This window comes from Homo sapiens, chromosome 2, assembly GCF_000001405.40.
Source record: "Homo sapiens chromosome 2, GRCh38.p14 Primary Assembly".
Taxonomy (NCBI): Eukaryota; Metazoa; Chordata; class Mammalia; order Primates; family Hominidae; genus Homo; species Homo sapiens.
Genome location: NC_000002.12, coordinates 62407614 through 62427018, shown reverse-complemented (window position 1 = coordinate 62427018; position 19405 = coordinate 62407614). Strand labels below are relative to the sequence as shown.

At 44.3% G+C, this 19405-nt stretch overlaps 1 long non-coding RNA gene across 1 annotated transcript in view, besides 6 other annotated features; it reads right to left on the bottom strand.

Moving 5' to 3' along the window:
- Positions 1 to 11826, bottom strand: part of LOC105374764 (uncharacterized) — a 48875-nt gene extending 37049 nt beyond the window's left edge. The window contains exon 1 of the long non-coding RNA XR_002959390.2: positions 11590 to 11826. This is a non-coding gene — a long non-coding RNA (uncharacterized LOC105374764). The remainder of the gene's footprint in view (positions 1 to 11589) is intronic.
- Positions 11595 to 11664: an enhancer, noted in NCBI's record as "active region_15865". NCBI's record gives its function as "activates an Ori minimal core promoter by ATAC-STARR-seq in GM12878 lymphoblastoid cells {active_cell/tissue: GM12878}" and the evidence as "EXISTENCE:reporter gene assay evidence [ECO:0000049][PMID:35858748]".
- Positions 14825 to 15014: an enhancer, noted in NCBI's record as "active region_15864". NCBI's record gives its function as "activates an Ori minimal core promoter by ATAC-STARR-seq in GM12878 lymphoblastoid cells {active_cell/tissue: GM12878}" and the evidence as "EXISTENCE:reporter gene assay evidence [ECO:0000049][PMID:35858748]".
- Positions 15286 to 16045: an enhancer, noted in NCBI's record as "NANOG-H3K27ac hESC enhancer chr2:62638109-62638868 (GRCh37/hg19 assembly coordinates)". NCBI's record gives its function as "activates a minimal SCP1, AML or CMV promoter by ChIP-STARR-seq in naive H9 embryonic stem cells {active_cell/tissue: H9 hESC(naive)}" and the evidence as "EXISTENCE:reporter gene assay evidence [ECO:0000049][PMID:30033119]".
- Positions 16977 to 17056: an enhancer, noted in NCBI's record as "active region_15863". NCBI's record gives its function as "activates an Ori minimal core promoter by ATAC-STARR-seq in GM12878 lymphoblastoid cells {active_cell/tissue: GM12878}" and the evidence as "EXISTENCE:reporter gene assay evidence [ECO:0000049][PMID:35858748]".
- Positions 17297 to 17386: an enhancer, noted in NCBI's record as "active region_15862". NCBI's record gives its function as "activates an Ori minimal core promoter by ATAC-STARR-seq in GM12878 lymphoblastoid cells {active_cell/tissue: GM12878}" and the evidence as "EXISTENCE:reporter gene assay evidence [ECO:0000049][PMID:35858748]".
- Positions 18862 to 18911: an enhancer, noted in NCBI's record as "active region_15861". NCBI's record gives its function as "activates an Ori minimal core promoter by ATAC-STARR-seq in GM12878 lymphoblastoid cells {active_cell/tissue: GM12878}" and the evidence as "EXISTENCE:reporter gene assay evidence [ECO:0000049][PMID:35858748]".

Genomic DNA, 19405 nt, shown 5'->3' with positions numbered 1-19405 from the left:
ACCACCCAGTGCCTCTCCACTGCCCTTGGCTCAAAATGTTTGTTTTTCATTCCATTAGGCTGAAAAAGAATGGTTTAGCTGCTTCCCTGGGTATCGCTGCCAACATGCCCCAGTGGCCCCAGTGACTGGTGACCCCAGTGTGACCACTAAGATCTTTGTCCCACGGGGGCAGTGCAGACAGGTGCCCATGTCAATAGATCCTGCCAAAGATGTCTAGTGCTAATTCTTCTCCCCAGCCAAACCAAGTTGGCCAGCCTGCAAAATGCCTGAGGAAGGCCTGCCGCCAGAGCGGGCCTACTCACATCTGAGGGCTCCCAAGTGCCTGCGGGCCAGGCTCTGTGCCTCCAGCAGTTGCTGCTGCTGCTATGGCTCCCCAAGTCATGAGCCAGCCCCGTGGACCGCTGGCGTCGGCCTGGGGGCTTAGCCATTTCATACACCTGCAGCAAGCATCCGCTCCTTCTCCCAGCTGTGTGTGTGGAAAGGTAGCAAGCTCCACTCCACTCAACCGTGGACAGAGTGGCCAAGTTTTAGAGCACCAGGTCTGAAGGCTGCCTGACCTTTCTCTCCGGGGGTACAGTCATTGCCAGGACTTCAAGCCTCAGTGAAGATTTATTTTTACTCAGACTTAGTGTTGAAAGCTCAGGGGACAGGCTTTCATTTAATGTCTGGCCAAGAGACATGCTTGGAGATTGACCACATTTCAGGTCAGGTGCCTCTTGTTCTGGCCCAGGCAGAGGCCGGTGTCTGTTAAAAGAGTGGCCGGAGGACGTTCTGCATCAGAATCGCTGGATGGAGAAGAGTATATCCGTTAAAATGCATATTCCTGGGCCCCACCCCACGTCTTCTGTTTCTGAGCCTCTGGGGAAGGGGGTCCCATGATCTGCCTAATTAACAAGCCCTCAGCCCCAGACCCAGGAATTCTGGTGCTCACTAAAGTTTGCAAAACATTGCCTGCCCAGTCCAGTTGCAGTAAGTCAACGTGCTTCACTCTGCTAAAGCAGGAAGAGAAAACTCATTTCTGCCCCAGGGTCCAGATTTCAGCAAAGTAAAAGATTTGCAATCCTCAACGTCCATATGAACTCCATGGTTTTATATTTGTCTCCAGAAACCCTGTGCATATGTGCATGTGTGTGGTGAGGGAGGGATAGTCTAGCACTTGAAGGAGGTTATAGTGGAAGATGCAAAGGAGACAAGAGGGGAATAATAAGAAAGAGGCAAAGAAAGAAAGGCGATCTCCTGCGGGACTGTTGTACAAAGATGAGCCGAAAGCCCAGGACCCTCCAACCCACAGGATCATGGGAAAGAGGAAGACTAAGGAGGTGCCTGACTGAAGTATAAAATCACAAACCACATTCCCCTATAGCATGGCTGGATCTCAAACACATACGACTGAGTAGGAGGGAAAAACGCATCACAAAGAATAATATAGTAGAATCTATTTATATAAATTTTTTAAATTAGCAAAAGCAAATCGCATATGCTATAGGAGGTAGGCTGTAAAGGAAGGCAAAGGAATGATGCGCCTGAAATTCAGGACAGGCCCCCCTTCTACTTCTGGGAGAGAAAAGACTGCAGGGAATTTCAAAAGTACTGATAAATTTCCATGTCTTACACCAGACGGTAGGTGCTCAGACATGGTAACACGTACATAACGCATATCATTTTATGTGTAGGATACACTAAGATTTTTAAACATATATATGAAATAATGAGCAGCATGAATAAAATAAACATGACTGTTTATCAATTTCTGAAATACAAGGAAAAGGCGGCAACCTCTGGAATTTGTGTAAGTACAGCTTGAGCAAATAAAAGGCAACCTCATGTACCAAGGGGATTATGAACGTTCAGGACTCGTTACTGTCTGTTCTTGCCTCCAGGACAGGGATGGGCAGGAGGTGCCATCACCAGCTGGTGAAGTCACCAGGACCTGCCCGGGAGAGGAAGTACAGTGTGGCACGCCCAAGGCTTCAGGCAGAGGGCTGAGGGCCAGCCAGTGGGGGCAGTGTCCCGTGGGGTGTGTGGGCCCATGCTGGAGCTGGTAAATCCAAAAGTGGCCAAATGGGAAGGGGAACCAAGACTGGCAGCCAGGCAAGTGGTGTGATGGGTGGGGCATCTGACAGGGATGCCTGTAGAATTCTCTGAGGTGGGGTATCTGACAGGGACAGCCTGTAGAATTATCTGAACCAGATTTGGACCTTGTCTGGGCTAAGTGGGACCTGGCCTGTGGCAAGATGCTGGAAGTAGCCAATGGACTCACCTGAAATGGACATCACCTCTAGAGGTGACAACAGCAGACAGAGCCCCAGAGGCCAAGAGTAGCCACCTGGAAGTACAGCCTGAGATGGCCCCATTAGCCACACACTCCCAGAGACATAAGGAGCCCCAGAAGGCACCAGTCCACTCTCAGGCTCAATGTAGAAATCCCTTCTCCATCTTGTCACACAGGTCCCCAAGCTCTGTGTGAGTATTCCAGTGGTGCAGGACGTCTGCACCTCTTTTTATAAGGTGAAATAAGTGAAAATATAAGTGAAAATAAGTTCACTGTAGCTGTGTGGATTTGTTCCTGGGTTCTCTATTCTGTTCCATTGGTCTAAGTGTCTGTTTTTATGCCAGTACCATGCTGTTTTGGTTGCTATCGCTCTGTCCCATTGTAAAGAGACATTTATGATTAAGCCTTTTGTTCTGAGCTGAGGTTGGCCTCCTTGGCGCATTTCCCTGATGGTCACATGTCTGCTTTCAGGGGCAGTGCAAAATGAGCCAAGTCCCTCTTGCACACACCACATTAGCAGGTCTGTGGGTCCAAGCCAGCAAGTGGGACAAGGTCCACTAGGGGGATAGTGTGGTAGACACAGAGATATGCCAACTCAGCTGCCCCTCAAAGAAGGACTTGCCACAGCCAGTGGACAACCTCCAGCTCCCTCAGGGTTGGCTGAGAGCTGCCTCACCAAGACCATGCCCACATCCAGTGACTGATCATGGGAAGGGCATCTAAATGCCTGGACACTTCTGCCCACCCATAAACAACACCAATGGGCCATACATGCCTATGGGATGGGCTTTATCCAGCTTGAATCACAGTGTGACCCCTCTCTCTGCCCAGTCCTACTGCGGCTGCCTGACCTTCATAGGTGTTTACCCCTAATTAATACCATCCACACCAAACTCCATCTCAGCACCTGCTTCCAGAGAGCCCTGGATCCTGTGGAAGGGGAGTCTTACAACAGATTAAACCAAACAGGAGGTAGTTTTAGACCCACTAGCAAAGAAACTGCTGTTTCCATTTGCAGATAACTTGTTCACTGCAGCCAATGCTAAGGGTCTAAGGTTTCCCTAAGAGTTCCTTCAAAACAAATAAAAAAGAATTTTGAGAGAATCTCCTGCAACTTTCCACCCTGAACATGTTGTTTTAACGAGCAATCCGGAAAGGTAAAGACTCCAAACATGCTCAGCTCCATGCCCCTGTGTGGGGTTGGAAAGTTCCCCACGGGTGTGCTTGTCACCCTTCTACTTGTTGATGCCAGAACAAGATTCGCCAGCACAAACCAGTAGGACGACCTGGTAATTTCCACTCACTTGAAAAGGGTTCTTGTCCTTGCCTAGTCCCAGAACTCTCAAAAGCAGCCACTCTCCTTGTTCTCCCTCTTCTGGTCACATAGCGCAGGTTGCTTTCACCCCATTAACTGTGCCTGGCTTTAGGACAGTTCTCAGCTGTGGGCCATTCTGGTTATTTACTTGTATATTTTTTAATCCATTCCCTTGAGCATTTATCCTTTCAGTTACAAACAATCCAATACACTCTTTTAAGTTATTTTTAAAGGTGTAATTAAGTTATTATTGACTATAGTCATAATGTTCTGCCATCAAATAGTGGGTCTTATTCTTTCTAATTTTGTACCCATTAGCCATTCCCCCAACCCCCCACTACTCTTCCCAGCCTCTGATAACCATCTTTCTACTCTCTATGTCCATGTGTTCAATTGTTTTGATTTTTAGATCCCACAAATTAGTGAGAACATGTGATGTTTGTCTTTCTGTGCCTGGCTTATTTCACTTCATATAATGATCTCCAGTTCCATCCATGTTGTTGCAAATGACTAAACCTCATTCTTTTTATGGCTGAATACTACTCTATTGTGTATAGGTACCATATTTTCTTTATCCAGTCATCTGTTAATGGACAGTTAGGTTGCTTCCAAATTTTGGCTATTGTAAACAGTGCTGCAACAAACATAGGAGTGCGGATATCCTATGATTTCCTTTCTTTAGGGTGTATACCTACCAGTAGAATTGCTGAATCATAGGGTAGCTCAATTTTTAGTTTTTTGAGGAACCTCCAAACTATTCTCCATAGTGGTTGTCCTAATTTACATTCCCACCAACAGTGTACAAGGGTTCCCTTTTCTCTACATCCTGGCCAGCATTTGTTATTGTTTGTCTTTTGTATAAAAGCCATTTTAACTGGGGTGAGATGATATCTCATTGTACTTTTGATTTGCATTTCTCTGATGATTGATAATGTTAAGTACCATCTCATATGCCTGTGTGCCATAGGTCTTCTTTTGAGAAATGTCAATTCAAATCTTTTGCTCATTTTTTGATTGGATTATTTTATTTTTTCCCTATATAGTTGTTTCAGCTCCTTATATATTCTGGTGATTAATCCCTTGTCAGATGGGTAGTTTGCAAATATTTTCTCCCATTCTGTGAGTTGTCTCTTCACTTTGTTGACTGTATCCTTTGCTGTGCAGCAGCCTTTTAACTTGATATGATTCCATTTGTTCATTTTTGCTTAGGTTGCCTGTGCTTGTGGGGTACTGCTCATGAAATTTTTGTCCAGACCAATGTCCTGGAGATTTTCCCCAATGTTCTCTTGAAGTAGTTTCATAGTTTGAGGTCTTAGACTTACATCTTTAATCCATTTTTATTTGAATTTTGTATATGATGAGAGGTAGCAGCCTAGCTTCATTCTTTTGCATATGAATATCCAGTTTTCCCAGCAGCATTTATTGAAGACCGTCTTTTCCCCACTGTATATTCTTGGCACCTTTGTTGAAAATAAGTTCACTGGAGCTGTGTGGATTTGTTTCTGGGTTCTCTATTCTGTTCCATTGGTCTATGTGTCTGTTTTTATGCCAGTACCATGCTGTTTTGGTTGCTGTAGCTCTGTAATATAATTCGAAGTCAGGTAATGTGGATTCCTCCAGTTTTGTTCTTTTTGCTGAGGATAGCTTTGGCAATTGGGCCTTTTGTAGTTTCATATAAATTTTGCGGTAGTTTTTTCTATTTCTGTGAAAAATGTCATTGGTATTTTGGTAAGGATTGCACTGAATCTGTAGATTGCTTTGAGTAGTATGGACATGTTATCGATATTAATTCTTCCAATTCATAAACACAAAATATTTTTCAATTTTTGATGTCCTCTTCAATCTTTCATCTTTCATCTTCAATCTTTCATCAGTGTTTTACAGTGTTCATTATACAAATATTTCACTTCTTTGGTTAAGCTAATTCCTAGGTATTTTTGTGTGGCTATTATAAATGGGATTACTTGCTAAATTTCTTTTTCACATTGTTCACTGTTGGCATATAGAAATGCTACTGATTTTTGTATGCTGACTTGGTATCCTGCAAATTTGCTGAATTTGTTTATCACTTCTAACAGTTTTCTGGCGGAGTCATTAGGTTTTTCCAAATATAAGATCACGTCATCTGCAAACAAAGATAATTTGACTTCTTCCTTTCCAATTTGGATGCCCTTTATATCTTTCTCTTGTCTGATTGCTCTAGCTAGGACTTCCAGTACTATGGTGAATAACAGTGGTGACACTGGGCATCCTTGTCCAGATCTTAGAGGAGAGGTTTTTAGTTTTTCCCCATTCAGTATGATACTGGTTGTGGGTCTGTTGTATATGGCTTTTATTATGTTGAGGTATGTTCCCTCTATACCCAGTTTTTTTAGGGATTTTATCATGAAAAGATGTTGAATTTTATCAAATGCTTTTTCAGCATCAATTGAAATGATTATATGGTTTTTATCCTTCATTCTGTTGATACGATGTATCACATTGTTTGATTTATGTATGTTAAACTATCCTTGCATCCCAGAGATAAATCCCACTTGGTCATGCTGAATGGTCTTTCTAATGTATTACTGAATTCAGTTTGCTAGTATTTTGTTGTTGATTTTTGCTTCAATCAGAGATATTGGCCTGTAGTTTTCTTTTTCGGATGTGTCTTTGGTTTTGGTATCAGGGTAGTACTGGCCTCGTAGAATGAGTTTGGAAGTATTCCCTCTTCCTCTACTTTTTGGAATAGTTTGACTAGGATTGGTATTAGTTCTTCTTTAAATGTTTGGTAGAATTTAGCAGTGAAGTCATAGGGTCCCAGGGTTTTCTTTAGTGGAAGGCTTTTTATTACAGCTTTAATCTCATTACTTGTTATTGGTCTGTCCAAGTTTTGGATTTCATCATGGTTCAATCTTGGTAGGTTGTATGTGTCTAGGAATTTGTCCATTTCTTCTAGATTTTCCAATTTATTGGCATATAATTGCTTATAGTAGCTACTAATGATTCTTTGCATTTCTTCAGTATCAGTTGTAATATCTCCTTTTTCATTTCTGATTTTATTTATTTGGATCTTCTCTCTTTTTTTCTTAGTCTAGCTAAAGGTTTGTCAATTTTGTTTAACTTTTCAAAACACTAACTTTTTGTCTTGTTGATCTTTTATATAATTTTTTTCATTTCAATGTCATTTATTTTTTCTCTGATCTTTATTTTTTTTTTCTTCTACTAATTTTGGTTTTGGTTTGCTCTTGCTTTTCTAGTTCTTTAAGACGCATCATTGATTGTTTATTTGAAGTTTTTCCTCTTTTTTGTTGTAGGCACTTAAAGCTATAAATGTCCCTCTGAGTACTGCTTTTGCTGTATTCCATGGGTTTTGGCATGTTGTGTTTCCATTGTCATTCATGTCAAGAAATTTTTCAAATTCCCTCTCAATTTCTTCATTGACTCATTGGTCATTCAGGAACATATTAATTTCTATGTATTTGTATAGTTCCCAAAATTCCTCTTGTTATTAATTTCTAGTTTTATTCCATTGTGGTCAGAGAAGATGCTGGATATTATTTTGATTTTTTTGGATGTTTTAAGACCTGTTTTGTGACCTAACATGGTCTATCCTTGAGAACGAGCCATGTGCTGAGGAAAGGAATGTGTATTCTGCAGCCATTGGATGAAATGTTCTGTAAATACCAATTAGATCCATTTGGCCTATAGTGCAGATTAATCTGATGTTTCTTTGTTGATTTTCTGTCTGGAAGATCTGTCCAATGCCGAAGGTGCGGTGTTGAAGTCTCCAGCTGTTATTGCACTGGGGCCTATCTCTCTCCTTATCTCTAATTAATATTTGCTTTATATATCTGGGTATTCCAGTGTTGGGTACATATATATTTAACATTGTTATATCCTTTTGCTGAATTGACCCCTTTATCATTATATAGCGATCTTTGTCTCTTCTTATAGGTTTTTGTTTCAAAATATATTTTGTCTGATATAAGCATAGCTACTCCTGCTCTTTTTTGGTTTCTGTTGGCATGGAATATCTTTTTCCATCCCTTTATTTTCAGTGTATATGTGTCTTTATAGGTGAAGTGTGTTTCTTGTAGGCAACAGATCAATAGGTCTTATTTTTTCATCCATTCAGCCAGTCATTCTATGTCTTTTGATTGGAGAATTTAGTCCATTTACATTCAATGTTATTATTGATAAGTAAGGACTTATTCCTGCCACTTTGTTATTTATTTTCTGGTCTTTTTTGTCTCCTTCCTGTTTCCCTTTAGTGAAAATGGTTTCCTCTGGTGATATGATTTAGTTTCTTGCTTTTTATTTTTTGTGTATTAATTGTATGAGGTTACCATGAGGCTTGCAAATGCTATCTTATAGCACATTTTTTTTTGAGACGGAGTCTCGCTCTGTCCCCCAGGATGGAGTGCAGTGGCATGATCTCGGCTCACTGCAAGCTCCGCCTCCTGGGTTCATGCCATTCTCCTGGTTCAGCCTCCTGAGTAGCTGGGACTATGGGCTCCTGCCACCACGCCCAGCTAATTTTTTGTATATTTAGTAGAGACGGAGTTTCACTGTGTTAGCCAAGATGGTCTCCATCTCCTGACCTCGTGATCTGCCTGCCTTGGCCTCCCAAAGTGCTGGGATTACAGGCGTGAGCCACCGCGCCTGGCCATAACACATTATTTTAACCTGATAACAACTTAACACTCTGCATAAACAAACAAGCAAAAAGAAAACTAATAAAATCTCTATGGCTTAACTTCATCCCCCAGCTTTTTAAATTTTTGTTGTTTCTATTTATATATCTTTTTTTTTTTTTTTTTTTTTGAGACAGAGTCTCGCTCTATCACCTAGGCTGGAGTACAGTGGCATGATCTTAAAGCAATTCTCCTGCCTTGCCTCCTGAGTAGCTGGGATTACAGGAATGCACCACCACACCCAGCTAATTTTTGTATTTTTACTAGAGACAGGATTTCACCATGTTGGCCAGGCTGGTCTTGAACTCCTGACCTCAAGTGATCCACCCGCCTCAGCTTCCCAAAGTGCTGGGGTTACATGTGTGTGCCACTGCACCTGGCCTATTTTTATCTTATTTTACTGACTATGTCTTGAAAGGTTGTTGTAGTTATTATTTTTGACTGGTTCATCGTTTATTCTTTCTACTTAGGATAAAAGTAGTTTACAAACTACAGTTACAGTGTTATCATATTCTGTGTTTTTCTGTGTATTTACTATTGGCAGTGAGCTTTGTACCTTCAGATAATTTCTTATTGCTCATTAATGTCCTTTTCTTTCCAATTGAAATCTCCCTTTAGCATTTCTGGTAGGATAGGTCTGGAGTTGATTAAATCCTTCAGCTTTTGTTTGTCTGGGAAAGTCTTTATTTCTTCTTCATGTTTGAAGGATATTTCACCGGATATACTATTCCAGGGTAGTTTTGTTTCCTTCAGTATTTTTAATATGTCATGCCACTCTTTCTTGGCCTGTAAAGTTTTCTACTGAAAAGCCTGCTGCCAGATATATTTGGGCTCCATTGCATGTTATTTGTTTCTTTTCTCTTGCTGCTTTTAGAGTCTTTTTTTTATCCTTGACTTTTGGGAGTTTGATTATTAAATGCCTTAAGGTAGTCTTCTTTGGGTTAAATCTGCTTGGGGTTCTTGATTATTTACTTATTGACAATATTATTGTTTTCTGCTAATAACAAAACAACAGCCAGCTAGTTCTAGAAGCTCCTCATGCAGATTATAGGCCTCCTCCCTGGATGGCTGTTGGGTTAGATTACAAAGAATGATTTCTAATCCTCTATTTTATTATTATTATTATTATTATTATTTTGAGACAAGATGCTGCTCTATCACACAGGTTGGAGTGCAGTGGTGCCATTACAGCTCACTGTAGCCTCAAACTCCTGGGCTCAGGCAATCCTCCTGCCTCAGCTTCCCAAGTAGCTGAGACTACAGGTGCACTCCACCATGGCTGGCTAATTTTTTCATTTTTTTGTAGAGACAGGGCCTTGCTGTGTTGCCCAGACTGGCCTCAAACTTCTGACCTCAAGTGATCCATCTGCCTTGGCCTCCCGAAGTGCTGGGATTACAGACATGAGCCACCGAGCCCAGCCCAATCCTCTCTTTAAAAATGACTTTTCTTATTATCTTTTTTTTCTGACTAAAAAGGAAATTTCTTGTGTTAGTTTCCTATTGCTGCTATAACAAATTATCATACACTTAGTGGCTTAAAACAGCACAGATTTATTATCTCATAGTTCTGGAGGTCAGAAGTCCAAAATGGGTCTCTCTGGGCTAAAATCAAGGTGCAACAGGACTGTATTCCTTTTGGAATCCATTCACCTTTTGCACCTCCTAGAGGCTTCCACATGCCTTGGCTCATGGCCCCTTCTTCAAAGCCAGCCATGGCTGGTCAAGCCTTCCTCACATCATATCACATCACTCTGACATTCACTCTTCTGCCTCCCTCTTCCCCATTTTATTTATTTATGTATTTATTTTGAGACAAAGTCTTGCTCTGTCACCCAGGCTGGAGTGCAGTGGCGCGATCTCAGCTCACTGCAAGCTCCACCTCCCGGATTCACGCCATTCTCCTGCCTTATCCTCCTGAGTAGCTGGGACCACAATCGCCCACCAACACATCCAGCTAATTTTTTTTTTTTTTTGTATTTTTAGTAGAGACGGGGTCTCATCGTGTTAGCCAGGATTGTCTCAATCTCCTGACCTCGTGATCTGCCCGCCTCGGCCTCCCAAAGTACTGGGATTATAGGCGTGAGCCACCATGCCAGGCCCCTCTTCCCTGTTTTAAGGACCTTTGACATTGCACTGGACTCCCCTGGATGATCCAGGATACACTCCCCTTCTCAAAGGCAGCTGATCAGCAACCTTCATTCTATCTGTAGACGTAGTTCCCTTTTGCCATGTAAGCTAGCATATTCACAGGTTCTGAGGATTACGAGGTGGACATCTTTGATGTTATTATTCTGCCTACAACATACACATTCCTTGTAGAAAATGTAGGAATACAGAAAAGGCATAAAAGAAAGTACATGACACTTCTAATTCCACTTCCTGGAGATAACCACTGATGATGGCTTAGTGTATATTCTTCAAGTCTTTTGTTCAGTGCATATGTTTTTTTCTTTGTAAACTAGGTTTGCATGATAATATATAATCATTAATGTTAAATTACTATATATAGTGAATTACTAAATATATATAGTATTTAATATTAAATTACTAAACACTATATATATTACTAAACACTATATATAATAGTGTTATATATAAAAAATGTTTAGTAATTTTCCTTAATAATATGCATATATTCCCATGGAACTATATATTTTTCCACATTTCATTTTAATGGCTATCTAGCATTCTACTGTGTGGAATGTACTATAATTTATTTAACTAATTTAGTTAATTCTCTGTTATTAACCACATAACTTATCTCTAGCTTTTCTTTAAGCCTGGTACCCCTGTGGTAAACATCCCTAAATCTACATCTTTGTACATATTCTTAGGATACATTCCCTAAAGGCACACCAAAGGTTGGGTGATTATATCATTTATTCTACAAAGCAGGATTCTTTGAGAGTGAAAAAAGATAATATTAAAAATCCATAGTAATTAATAAATAACAATAAGCCAGGACTGTTCTGGGCGTGACACACATTGCCAGATTGGCCTCCTGAAATGTTTACACTCCCACGGGCAGCTACCAAATGTCCTTGCTCTAAGCCCTTGCCAATGCTGCCAGTCCTATACCCCTACACCCTCTTACTCTCTAGATCCCATCTTCCAAAAAACAACAACCACACACACTGCAAATACCATGAGAGCCCTCACTGGAGATGTGACAGTGGTTGGCAGAGCTGTTTCTCATGGCAGGGAGAGGACAAGTAAGTCTTTGCCCTGGTTAACAATGATTTGACATTTGGTGAGTTCATTTTGTCTTCTGATCCAGGTACATCCACTGGATTAGTTTCAAGGCAGCAATGACCTGCCTTCCTTACCTGCACACAGGCCCAGGTACAGGCTCAGCCAGAAGAGGAATCTCCCAGGAGGGCCTCTCCCCAGGCCCAGGCAGGGAAGCACTGCCATGGATAGCATCTGCCAGGACAAGCTGACCTGCACAAGAGACAGTCCACCGTGAAGAGCCGAGCATGAGTTGGCAGCTGCTGTCAGCTCAAATTGTCCAGTACGCAAACTTGGTCTTCAGAGGACTGACTTCCTCTTGGATAGAAGAACCCTCTGAAACCATGACTGTCAAGAACACACCCAAATAAAGCAGCTGCCGAAACCACAAAAACAGAAAGACTAGATTCATTGTGAAGATGTTTTCTAACATTCAAATGGGCTTTTGTTAGTTTTGTTTTTGATTTTGGTGGAGGTCATTTGAGTCTTGTTATCAAGGTTACAAAGTGCTCTCTGGGAAAAGATCCGGGCCCATTTACCAGGCTGCCTTGCCTGGCTTTGCTTCTCGGGTATGAAATGAACATTGAGAATGCAGACACTGAAGAAAAGACCTCAGGTATCTTTGACTTTTTTTTTTTTTTTTTTTTTGAGACAGGGTCTCAATCTGTCACCCAAGCTGTAGTGCAATGGCACGATCTAGGCTCACTGCAACCTCTGCCTCCCAGGTTCAAGCAATTCTCCCACATCAGCCTCCTGAGTAGCTGGGATTACAGGGGCGTGCCACCACACCCAGCTAATTTTTGTATTTCTAGTAGAGATGGGGTTTCACCATGTTGGCCAGGCTGGCCTTGAACTCCTGACCTCAAGTGATCCATCCACCCTGACTTCCCAAAGTGCTGGGATTACAGGCGTGAGCCACCATGCCCAGCCTATTTTTGACTTTCTGAGTCAAGTAACCAGATGAAACCAGTCCCCTTGTCCACCCAGAGTCCACTCAGGCTATACTTGATTCATACTTTTTTTTTAATTTTTATATTTTTTTTAGAGACAGGGTCTCATTCTGTCACCCAGGCTGGAGTACAGTGGCACAATCACGGCTCACTGCAACCTCGAACTACTGGGCTCAAGCAATCCTCCTGCCTCAGCCTCCCAATTAGCTAGGACTACAGGCACGTGCCACCATGCCTGGGTAATTTTTTAATTTTTTGTAGCAATGGAGTCTCACTATGTTGACCAGGCTGATCTCAAACCCCTGGTCTCAAGCAACCGGCTCCCTTTAGCCTCCCTAAGCACTAGGATTACCGGTGTGAGCCACCACACCTGGCCTGATTCATATGCTAGACTCATATGCTAGAAAAGCCAACCCCAAATGGGCCCTGATAGAGCAATCTTGTTGGGGACAGTTTTACTTGTAAGTAACTGGCTCCCTGACCTACAGAATATAAGCCTTCAGAAAAAGCTTCAGAAAAAGCTCAGCACCCTGCCTCTCTCCTCCAAATAATGTTCCAGGTGATATTCTGCAAGCACACCTGGAAACTTTGCTCTGTTTGTTAACCTAGAAAATTAAATGAGCAAGGGACAGAGCAGGCTGGCCTGGAACAGGGACTGGGTACAAACCAGATCTCCAAAGCTTGGGCTTATTCTCTGAAAGAAATGCTCTTTTTAATTTCAACTCTGATGTCTTGGTGGAGACATTCAACTGGAGATCTGGAGTCTTTGATATAAGCAAAGGCAAGCTTGTGGGATCACCACTGGCTACAGAAAGAAGCCCAGCTCTTTGGCAAAGAAAATCCTGGGCTCAGAGAGTGAAGAGTGTGTCAGATTTCTCACGTCAAAAGTCAGCTTTTGTATTCAGAATGGAGCCAGAAGGTCCTGAATCCAGAATGGCCTAGAGCCTCCCCACATGCTGTCCTAGCGGGGGCTTTAGCAGGTGGATTTTGATAAAGATAGCTTTGGATGCTAAGCATAGAAAAAAAGAGAAATGTTGGCTCTAGGCTGGGTATGGTGGCTCACACCTGCAATCCCAGCACTTTGGGAGGCCAAGGCGGGTGAATCACTTGAGTCCAGGAGTTCAAGACCAGGCTGGGCAACATGGCAAAATCATCTCTACAAAAAATACAAAAATTAGTCGGGCATGGGGTCACCCACCTGTAGTCCCAGCTACTAGGGAGGCTGAGGTGGGAGGATCAATTGAGTCCATGAGATCAAGGCTGCAGTGAGCCGTGTTTGCGCCACTGCATTCCAGCCTGGGTAACAGAGAAAGACCTTGTCTCAAAAAAGGAAAAAGAAAAAAGTTGGCTTTAGCACCTCGAACCCTAGATGACTTCCTGAGTGTCATATTCTTTGGCTGCTACTCTGGAGTCACATCTCAGGGAAGATCCAGACAGACGGCTTTGGTCTTTGTGTTTGTAGGTCCTTTTTCCCTCAGATACTCACCTGCCCTACTCCCTCACCTCATCTATGCCTTTGCACAGATATTAGCAGATATCTGTGCTGATAAAAGTTGCGACTGCACCAGGCACAGTGGCTCACACCTGTAATCCCAGCACTTTGGAAGGCTGAGGCAGGAGGACTGCTTAAGGCTAGGGGTTCAAGACCAGCCTGGGCAACACACCAAGACCTTATCTCTGAAAAAAAAAAAAAAAGTTGTAGCTCATCAATTACCCTATCTGAAATAGCCCTGAATCCCCTGCCTTATTTTCCTTTATTGCACTTGTTACTACATCCCATTATATTTTACATGTATGTGTTTAATATTTGCCTCCCTAGTTAAAATGTAAAGTGCATGAAAGGAGACATTTTTATTTATAGTCAGGTCCGCAGATCTTAGGACAGTGCCTGGCACATAATAAAAGCACAATAAATATTTGTTGAATGAGTCTTAGAGTTGAGTCAAACATCAGATAGCAGGTATTTCTACTGGGCAAATGTGGACTCACCCCAGAGGTGTGTAGAAGAGGGTGCAGAGTCTGGAGTAGTTTGGGGTGTAGGTGTCGGGGGAGAGGCAATTGTCTCGGGTGGAAACAAAATCCATGGCTTGTGCCCCTGCAGTTGCAAACACCATGAGTAGACGACAGAGAGAGAGAGAGAGAGAGAGAGAGAGGGAGGGAGGGAGGGGGAGAGAAAGAGAGAGAGAGAGAGAGAGAGAGGGAGGGAGGGAGGGGGGGAGAGAGATTGAGAGAGAGAGAGAGAGAGAGAGAGAGAGAGAGAGAGAGAGAGAGAGAGAGAGAAAACTAATTGTAATTCCTACTCATAGCCACAAGATGGCACTATTGCTCAGAGTCTTTACTCTGAAAAGCCGAATCTAGCAGAATCTAGCAGTCTAGTTTGGGATTCCTTGCTTCTCTCCGTCTCCTCCCGTTTCTCTCTCCGCTTTCCTCTCTTTTGTCTTCCTCTCCCTTCGTTTTTAAACACTGCTTTTATGGTGGACTTGAGCAATAGTATAGGAGAAGCCATTGGTGCTCAGAGAGAGATCCCCGAGATGGATATTTGGCCACACTAGGCACAATGGTTTGCTCACTGAGCACGGCCGGAAGGCCTGGCTTCACCAGCTTCCTCTTCTCTCTGGCCAGAACCCACAGCCTTGCTGTTCTGGACCTGGCCCGTGGCTTGGGAAGCCTCCAGGGACAATCTTGCTTCTCCCTCCCTTACTCCATCCTCCCCACCCCATAACATGCTTATCTGGGAAGCACCTGCCCTCAGATCTGGTTCCAGGGGTCCTTGCTTTCCACTTGAGAAACTGTAAACACGCACAGAATGTCTCCTGGTGGGGGTTCTGAGGCCTTTTCCTCCCTGGTATTTTAGCCTAAGGAAAAAGCATTCAGTGGTGTGGGGATGGTGGGTGGAGCTTGCGGTATTTTTCTAAGACTTTTGCAGTTGGGGAACAAATCTCCAGGGAAGGGGCAGGGCCTCGGGCTAATTCCAGTACAGTAGGATCAGGGCCATGAAAACATCACACAAAGGAAACTTCAAAGCTCTTCCCCAGTCTGAATGGGCAGGGCCTGCTGAGAGGTCAGATGTTAACCTGATCCAAATGCCCTCTTGCTTTCAGGTGCCCCTCGCAGGCCTGCACACCCCTAGGGGATCCACCCTCTCCCAGGTCAGAATTCCACAGGGCCCTGAAGCTTCCTTACGCAGTGCTCCCCATCCCTGTGCTTGAAGCAAAGCCAGGGAGGGCAGAGCCCAGAAGTTGGGATCTGGTTCTGACTGTTCTCTGGCCTTAGGAGTAGAGGCCAATTTCATCTCTGCAAAGTGAGGCTGGGGCTGAGGAATGAAATTACACCTTCATCCCGCTCAGTCCTGCCTCATCCCCAAACCTTGCCAAACCCTGACACAGCTACTTTGCAGGGAGTGGTGAGAATTAGGAATGCTGCAAGGTCACTTAGGGTGATCATTAGGACAGTCATTAATTTCTGAGGCCTAAGAGTGACTAATTTATCTCTGATAGACACAGGGATCAAAGGAGAGTATTTATGGCTTAGAAACAAACCTCCCATTCTTTCCCCTGCTATAATAAATAATAAAAAGCTCCCAGGCCTCCCTCCCTTGTCCATCTCTTCCCTGCCCCTTCCTCTCTGTCTTAACTGTCCCTGCACAAAAATTAACCCTACTCTTGCTTCTCTGTACTCTTCCCCTTCCTTCTGTAAGAACCAGAGAGGGGAAGAGAATTAGCTGGCCCTGAGAGCTTCAGCTGCAACTGTGCTGTGGAGTGAGGGGTGCTGATCCCAGGGGAGGACATAAGCCAGGCCAAGAGTGGGCTCTCCCTGGGCATTTACCATGTTTACTTTCCTAAGTATGTATACCAGGGCCTGGTTAGGCTAGAAAGCAGACTGTCACCAGGTTTATTAGCTGTGTGACCTTGAGCAAGCTACTTTTTTAAAGCCTCAGTTTCCCAATCTATAAAAGAAGGATAATAATAGCATCACAGACTGGCTTATGAGAATGACATAAGATAAAATATATAAAGTGCTCAGCACAGAGCCTGATGCAAAATAATGGCCACCACATTTACCAGGACCTCAACATCCTTATTTTATTTCCAAGAACTTGAGGCTGCAGTACAAACTGAGTCCTTCACTTTCTGTTGTAGCCTCTGGGAGACGCCAAAGTGAGGATGGGTGTGGCCCTCCAAGGACGCTGGACCCCTGCTGTAACAAGACACAGATCACACGGGAGGGGTTCTCAGCCTTAAGGATGCCGTGAGGTGGGCCTAGATCATGGCTTCTCACCGCCGCACTACTGACAGACCATTCTTTGTGGTGAGGCTTTGTTCTGTGCATTGTAGGCTGTTTCGCAGCATCTCCGGCCTCTGTTCACTAGATGCCAGTAGCAGCCTTCTAGTCATGACTATCAAAAATGCCTTTAGACATTGTCAGATGTCTTCTGGGGGACAAAACTGCCCTTAGTTGAGGGGCACTGGTCCAGGAAGGTGGGAAACATAGGGGCAAACCTGGCAGGGGTGAGGAAGCAGGTATGAGCCTGCGCACAAGAGCCCCTCCTACCCTGGGCAGGGCTCAGGCAGACCCTCAGCTGACTGTGGAGATTGGCCCTGGAAGACGAAGTTCTCTCTAGTAAGGCCATGGCCTTGCTTCCTCAAGAGCTGATGCCCTGCTTGGACATGGACCCCTGGATTCCCCCCAGCCCAAACCAACATACACAACCCTGTCCAGCCCCAGGAGTGCTGGCCAAGAAACAGTGCCCTGGTGGCACAGAATGCTCACTAAATGGACCCTGGGTCCATTCTCATCTCAGGGCAGAGCATGGAGCCAGGCTGGCCCTGCCACTCATGCACTGTGTGGCCTTGGGCAAATTGTTTCACCTCTCTGTGCCCCAGGATCCTTATCTGTAAAAATACCTTCCTAGGCAGGTTGTTGTGAGGATTAAATGACTTCATATTTCTAACATACTTAGAAGAGAGCCTGACTCATAGCAAGCACTAAGTGTTTGTTAAAGAAGCCAAAACCCAAAAAGAAGCTGCTGCAGACCAGGCGATGATGCAGCGTTGTGTATGTCAGAGGGTGCCTCAGCTATGACCTAAGGTCCAGGAGCTGTGTTTCCAAGGGCCTCTGGCCATTTGTATCTGGGTGTGGTGGGTGTATCTGGGGTCCCTGCAGCATCTCCCCTATTGGAGGTGGTTGTTCTTAGGAAAGTTCATTTTGACCAGAGAGAATACTCAGTGCAGTGGGCTCCAGAACTTCTCACTTGACAGCCCCTGGGAATTTCTTTGACTTGAGGGTGCTGGGAGAAAAGTCTTTTCCTCTACCAACTTAGGTTTGAGGAGGGGGTTTGTGAAATGACTCACAATAGACATACGAACGGGAAAAAAGACGAGGTCTATTCATATGTGGGAGCACTCGGTAATAAGTACCTTGCTGTACAGCCAGAGGTAAAGGTTTAAATACCAACTTAGCAAAAGGGAGGCAATGACAGCTTCGGAGGCTGGAAGGGTCTGATGGGGCTTGTTTACATAGTGTTTGGGAATGTACCAGTGCCCAAGGCCAGTCACCTCCCTGACTGGAGACCTCTGGGGGTGGAGATGAGGAGAAAACTCTGTTTTAGCCAGGTAGGGGTTCACTGGTGATTTCTTTTTTTTTTTTTTTCTTTTCCTTTTCCTTCTTTTATTCTCAGACCTCACAGGGATGGATCTTTTTCTTCCCTTTTTTCTTATTTTTCTTTTCTCACCCTCCCCCAATTCAGATTTCTTTTTGCATCTATTGTTGAAGCATCTGTTGTTGGATTTTGGTTGCTTAAAGGGAAGTACCTTCAATTTGCTGGGAAGAGAGAAGGAGCGAGGGAAGGAGCTGTTGAGTGAGCTGCTGTGATCTTTTGGGAACCCTAATATTTCCTGTCTGGCAGAGGAGGCAAAACCCCAGTCCAGAAGCCTCCCCAAACACGCAGTGGGAAAAACCACTTAGAGTTGCCAAGTGCTTTGCATGAGTTATCTATTGCTATGTAACAAATTGCCCTGAAACAGCAGCCTCAACAGCAAAACGTGTGTCATCTCTAATGGTAACTTAGAGTCAGGAATTTGGACGCGACTAAGGTGAGTTGTTCTGGTTCAGGGTCTCTCATGAGGTTGCGGTCAAGATATTAAGCAGAGCTGCTGTCACGTGAGGGCTTGATATGAGGCGGGAGGATTCACGTCCAAGATGGGTCCTCACATGGCTGTTGGCAGGAGGCGTCAGTTCCTCACCTCTGGGACCTCTGAGAGGGCTGCGTGAACATCCTTACAACACAGCAGCTGGCTTCCATAGTGAGCAGCCCAAGGCAGAAACTAATGCAGGCTAATCACCGTGTCTTTCTTAAGCTAGCCTCGAAGGCATATGCCATCACTTCTGCTGTACTTGTGGGCCATGCAGACCGACCCTGATGCAATGTGGCAGGAGACCATTCAAGGGCCTGAAAACCAGGAGATCAGGATCACTGAGAAACTGGCTACAACAGGCTTTCAGTTCCCCTCCCAGAAGAATGTTCACCTGCGTACTGGCCCAGGTGTCAGCCAGGCTCAGGCACACACTGGAGAAGCCCCTCAGACTGAAAACCCAATGGGCTGGGGTGGGATTCAGTGCTGCTACCAACTGCCTCAGCCTGCCTCCTCGGTGAACACTGTACCCACTCAGAATCGGGCAAGACATCCCCATGGTGGAATAAGAGCTCTGAGCACTGGGTGGGAGAAGCATTGGCCTCTTGGGACCCTCTCTAAGACTGGGAAAGGAAGACTTCACACCAAAAAAATTCCTAAGAGAAAGAACAGAAGGGAAACAAGCGACTGTCAGTAGGTGGAGCTGGGGGGCGGTGGGGGCTGGAACTTGATGGGGTGGGGCACCTGCTGCAGGCTTCAGGGAGAAGATAGGGCCTGAGTTCAGTCCTGAGCACCAAACCTAGACATGATGAACTACAGTCAGCCTCCCAGTG